Genomic DNA, 3,976 nt, shown 5'->3' with positions numbered 1-3,976 from the left:
TAAAATTCACTCTACAACATGCATTATTTTTTGTTTTATTGTTTGCTTTTACCACTGTTAAAAGTAGACAATATGAAAACAATTATTCTGCAGAGCGTTACACATTTCTAACAGCCTTCCTGAAATGTTTGGTCTGAAGCTGCCTCTATGGTTGTGAGAAATATGTGTAGTACATTTTTTTCTCCTTTCTTGATAGAGATTTCCATTTTATTGCTGAGAATGGGTTAGAAGTTATTCACAGACCCACTCAGGAAAATGGAAGTTACTCTCATAATCTCTATTATGAGATAAAGAAATGGAAGTTACTCTCATAATCTCTATTATTTATTTAGTGCTTGCTAGTTCCAAGCTTGGCGTTAAGTATTTTCACATACTTGGTGTCATTAGAGCCTTACGACAACCCTATGCAGCAGATACTATTAACCTCATTTTGCAGAGGTTCAGAGAGTTTAAATAATTTGTTCAAGATCACAGAGCTGGCCGTGCTGAGATGGGGTCTTTTGTCCTCTGATTCTAAAGCTCACTCTCTTGTCACTACCCAAAGCTGTCTCTTTTCCAGCGTTTTCCAACTGCCAATCTTCATGAATGTCTTGGTTGCCTGAAGATGAATTTGTCCACCAAGAGTGAAGAGTTTAGTGATTTGAGAAGCTGTGGAAAGTAAATGAAATGAGATACAGGGCCCATTCTGCTGCTGGGCTTTTAAAGAGAGAGGTGAGCAAAGCAGGTCGGCTATTTTGGGCTTAGAGCCAAGCCTTCTGGGGCTGTCCCAGGGAAGAACATTGCTGAGTTGTGGGGTAGAGCTTAGTGATGGCATGGTGCAGAGACAGGGCCTAAGGGGAGCTGTCTCAAAACCACTTCCTCCTCCAGGGTTCCTTCTCTGTGGGAGCCATTCTACTTCCCCACCCATGGGGGAACCTCTCTCTGTATTTTTTCCCCCAACACTATTTCTAGGATCCAGACACTAGTAGGCGCTGGGCAGGGATAGATGTCATGCTGGCTGATACTGCTAACTGGATAAACTGTGTGGAGCCTCAGTTTCCCCCACTTCATGGTCAGCAGGCTTTTTAGAACAGAAAGAAATTTGACGGTCTCTCTAGGAACCATGGCCAGGTTCCCACTGTTAGACACACACATAAGGGTCTCAGATTCATCTCAGGCTTGGGCCTCCCATGTGGTAGCCGAGCCATCAGGCTGGCTGTGAAATGCCTTATTTTATTTTCTGCCTAACATCAGGTTGCAAATGAAAATACCTTTTCAACCCTAGTATTATTACCCCTATGGATGGCACGTTTAATGTGCGCTATTCATTGTTATAATGGCCGCACCTGTGTAGCACACGCACACTGGAACTGCAGCAGCTGTGGACTGTAATTGCAAAACATTATTTTCTGTTTCTCCCCGAAAGCTTTTGTGCATGTGCGCGTGTGTGTTATCTGTGTCCGTGTGTTTGTTTCATCTATAATGACTGTGGCCCAAAGATTCCCCATCCCTACCCCCCTTTTTAAACATAAAACTAAATGTAAATACACTTATTTCTAAATGCACATTTCAGTGAAAGTCAGATGCAACCCCCCATCCCTCCCCTACACATTCAGTAATGAGACTTCAGAGAGCTACTTCGGAGCGTGTGGTCTGTGGAAAGGTTCACGCAATCGCCGCTGCTGGGTGCAGTGGTCTTTATGCTCGTTGGCACACAGGCTCTCCCATGATTAATGCATTTGTTCCTTGATATTCAGCCCCTGCAGGACAGAGAATCAATTTAGCACTCACAGGCCCAGATTATCACCAGTACCAAAGACATTTCTGCACCAGGGGCTTCCCCATTCAAAACGAAAAGATATTTTTCTTTTCATTTTTTTCTTTTTTTAGAGACAGAGTCTTGCTCTGTCGCCCAGGCTGGAGTGCAGTGGTGCGATCTCGGCTCCCCGCAACCTCCGCCTCCCGGGTTCAAGCAATTCTCCTGCCTCAGCCTCCCGAGTAACTGGAATTACAGGCGCGCACCACCATGCCCGGCTAATTTTTGTACTTTTAGTAAAGACGGAGTTTCACCATGTTGGCCAAGCTGGTCCCAAACTCCTGACCTCAGGTGATCCACCTGCCTCGGCCTCCTAAAGTGCCAGCATTGCAGGCGCGAGACACTGCGCCCGGCCCAAACAAGATTTCTAAGAAGGATGTGTTTTTTTCCATTTGCCTCCATTGGTTCTCATGTCTGGTGGATGAGGAAAAGCACTGTCTGCGATTTGGTCAAAACAGTTGGCTTTTCTCCTTTCCGTGCACTTCTTTAATTTGCAGAGATGCCATGTAGCCCGCTGCTGCAATGACTGTGGGGGAAACCAAGGCAACGGTCTAGCACAGAATTGAGTTAACACCTTAGATCGTGCAGTAGGGCTCCTGGTCAGCCACCTGAAGGGCTGGAGAACAGAAGACAAGGCTATCAGCAGTGTTAGGGACATGCCGCAAGTTGGGGCTTCACCACCGAATTTCCCACCTGCGAAAACATGGATGAGGAAGACAGGGCTGTCAATTTCATCAGCCACATCCTCAGAAAAATGAATAGAGCTTCTCTGAGAAGTACTGCAGCTTTCCTCTAAGCCCTCGGCGAGATCCTGAATGAAGAGGGACATTGGGTTTATTGGACATTTAAACAGCGCTGAGAAGATCAAGTAATGCGGTCCTCATCCAGCAGAGCAATGAACTTCGTCGTCTTGCAGACTCCTCCACGTTGGAGACGCAAACCTCAGGCGTAAGCATGGGGAAGATGCTCAGTACTAAGTGGGCAGGCGCCTTCTTTGCACAATGCATAGCTCTTCACATAAAGCGTGTCCACCTTAACTGCCTTGCTTTATTGAAAACATTGGTAATGAGAATTGACTGATGGGAAGGGCCCACCCATTACGGTAAAGAAATGTGAGCATTTTACAAATTCTCAGGATATGAGCACAGATGTCTTTGTTTCTGAATGCTCAAAATATTACTGATGACCTTAAAATACATTGAAAAAAAATCAAATTCAAGACTATTTGGTTAGATGAATTTGAACCTATTATTAAAAGAGAGAAGTTGTAATTAAAAAAAAAACTGTAAAGAGAAAACCTGGTTGAGAGTCTACCCACCATTCTTCAAACCCTGTAAGAGTTAAGAAGTCCATGAATGAGATTTTTTAAAATCTGGTAAACTTTGTCAGTGTGATTATTTCTCTCTTGAAGAATCTGCTTAATTGGCAAAGTGGGCTTTCTGTTCTGTTAGGCATATGATTAGTGCTTTTATAGTGACTTGAGTTTTTGAGGCTATCAGTGCTGTGCAGGTAGAATAATAGAAAAGTCACAGCAAAATTATTTATTAACTCATGTAAACGAGTTTATAAATAAGCTGGAAAGCAGGGTTGTGGTGAATGCTTACTAAGCTTTTGTCCAGAAGGTGGCAACATTTCCTTAAGAATTTGGGAGAAAATGCTGGCTTCAGAAAATGACGATTTATCTTAGGACATTGTGTTCTGTTCTCTTTTCAAAGGTACAGCACAAAATGCACGTCCCCACACCCATGCTCCCTCTTTATTCTCAACAGATTCCAGGGAGAAATCTTGCCGTTTCTTCTCTTTATCTTTCTCTCTGGAGAGTAAATTTACATTGTTCAGATTTTCAAGCTGAGATGAGTTTATGCTGAAATGAATTTATGTAGCTGAAAATATTAGATTCTTAGTCTCCCCACTTCACTTCATCTCTCTGAAAGGTGGTGTTTTTGGAGAAAAGGGCCCATGTGAAGAGTCACTTACATTTCTAGCAGGTAAATCGGATGCCCACTCATAACCGTGAACGTGTCTTACTTTCTGAAAATCCCAACAAACCTCAAGATGACTATTTGCAGCGATAGCGCTTTGCTACACTGGATTGCTCTCTCGTTTCTTAATGTTTTGTTCATGCAAACATTAAGATCCAGAAGCAAGACAGAAGAGAGTGAGGACACTTGTTTGGGCTGA

The sequence above is a fragment of the Homo sapiens genome, chromosome 6 (genome assembly GCF_000001405.40).
Source record: "Homo sapiens chromosome 6, GRCh38.p14 Primary Assembly".
NCBI classification, from domain to species: domain Eukaryota; kingdom Metazoa; phylum Chordata; class Mammalia; order Primates; family Hominidae; genus Homo; species Homo sapiens.
The sequence above is the reverse complement of the archived record's forward strand: the minus strand, read 5'-3'. Positions refer to the sequence as shown.